Source organism: Homo sapiens, chromosome 20 (genome assembly GCF_000001405.40).
Source record: "Homo sapiens chromosome 20, GRCh38.p14 Primary Assembly".
Lineage (NCBI taxonomy): Eukaryota > Metazoa > Chordata > Mammalia > Primates > Hominidae > Homo > Homo sapiens.
Window position 1 is genome coordinate 37626649 of NC_000020.11, and position 993 is coordinate 37627641.

General features: G+C 45.7%; 1 annotated feature.

Moving 5' to 3' along the window:
* Positions 534–633: an enhancer, noted in NCBI's record as "active region_17849". NCBI's record gives its function as "activates an Ori minimal core promoter by ATAC-STARR-seq in GM12878 lymphoblastoid cells {active_cell/tissue: GM12878}" and the evidence as "EXISTENCE:reporter gene assay evidence [ECO:0000049][PMID:35858748]".

Here is a 993-nt window from a genome sequence, read left to right on the forward strand (position 1 = left end):
GCAGTCCTACAAGCTAGATATTATTATCACAGTCAAAAACTGAATTTTGGAGTGTATCAACTTACCCCAAGCAAGTTGTGGAGCTAATTCAAACCCATGTCTTCCTGGCTCTTAATTCCTTCATTTTTTAACTACACCTCATTGCCTTTGATATCTTCACCCCTTCCCCCAACCCAAATTCCACCTATCACTCTCAAGATCTTGACAAATAGCTCCCCTCCCTGAGGCTCAGACTCTCCATCTGTTAAAGAAGGAGATTAAGTTATATCTGAGATTCTTAACCAGGGGTCCATGAACCCCATGAAATAGAGGGCTAATTTTGGTATTTATGAGCAAAATTTTGAGTTTTAAATATTTTTCTTGGTAAAAGACCCATGAGATTGTTTATATCCTAAAAGGTTTATGACTCGCCTAAGAGGCTGAGATATAACCGGACCAGATGGTCTAAGGTCCTCTTCAGCACACACATGCTGTGATTCTGCACCCTTAGAGCAGAAGCACCACAGACAGCGCCAATACCATTCAGCACCACGGACAGAGCCACGCTCTGACGTCTTCTGCAGAAAAGTCCCATCAACTATTACACTGACCCAAAGAATGAACGAGGCAAGACCACTGAGTGCCCAAAATCAGTGGGATAGGAAGTCAGAATCTGCAACAGACACAGATGGCTTTCCCTCTCCCCCCTGCCTTTTCTGTAAAAGAGTCCCAAATGTTGCAATTGTCCTCACAGTGACATTTCCCCTATCCTGGGGGCCTCCCGTCCCTCTCCCCACAACAGTGAAGAAGAGGGTATCGAGCCGGGCAGTGGAGTACCCTGGTGACAGATTAGCACTGCCAACCACCGACACAAAACCATTTGGTGTGGGGAAATGATAGATGTTAACACTCATTTTAAACACAGGCAACTGAATTCCTGCAGACAGGCGCCACGGCTGGAATTTAGGGCACAGCTGCTAGGTTCAGATAAGGTGCAGAATCAGCCCAGCATAC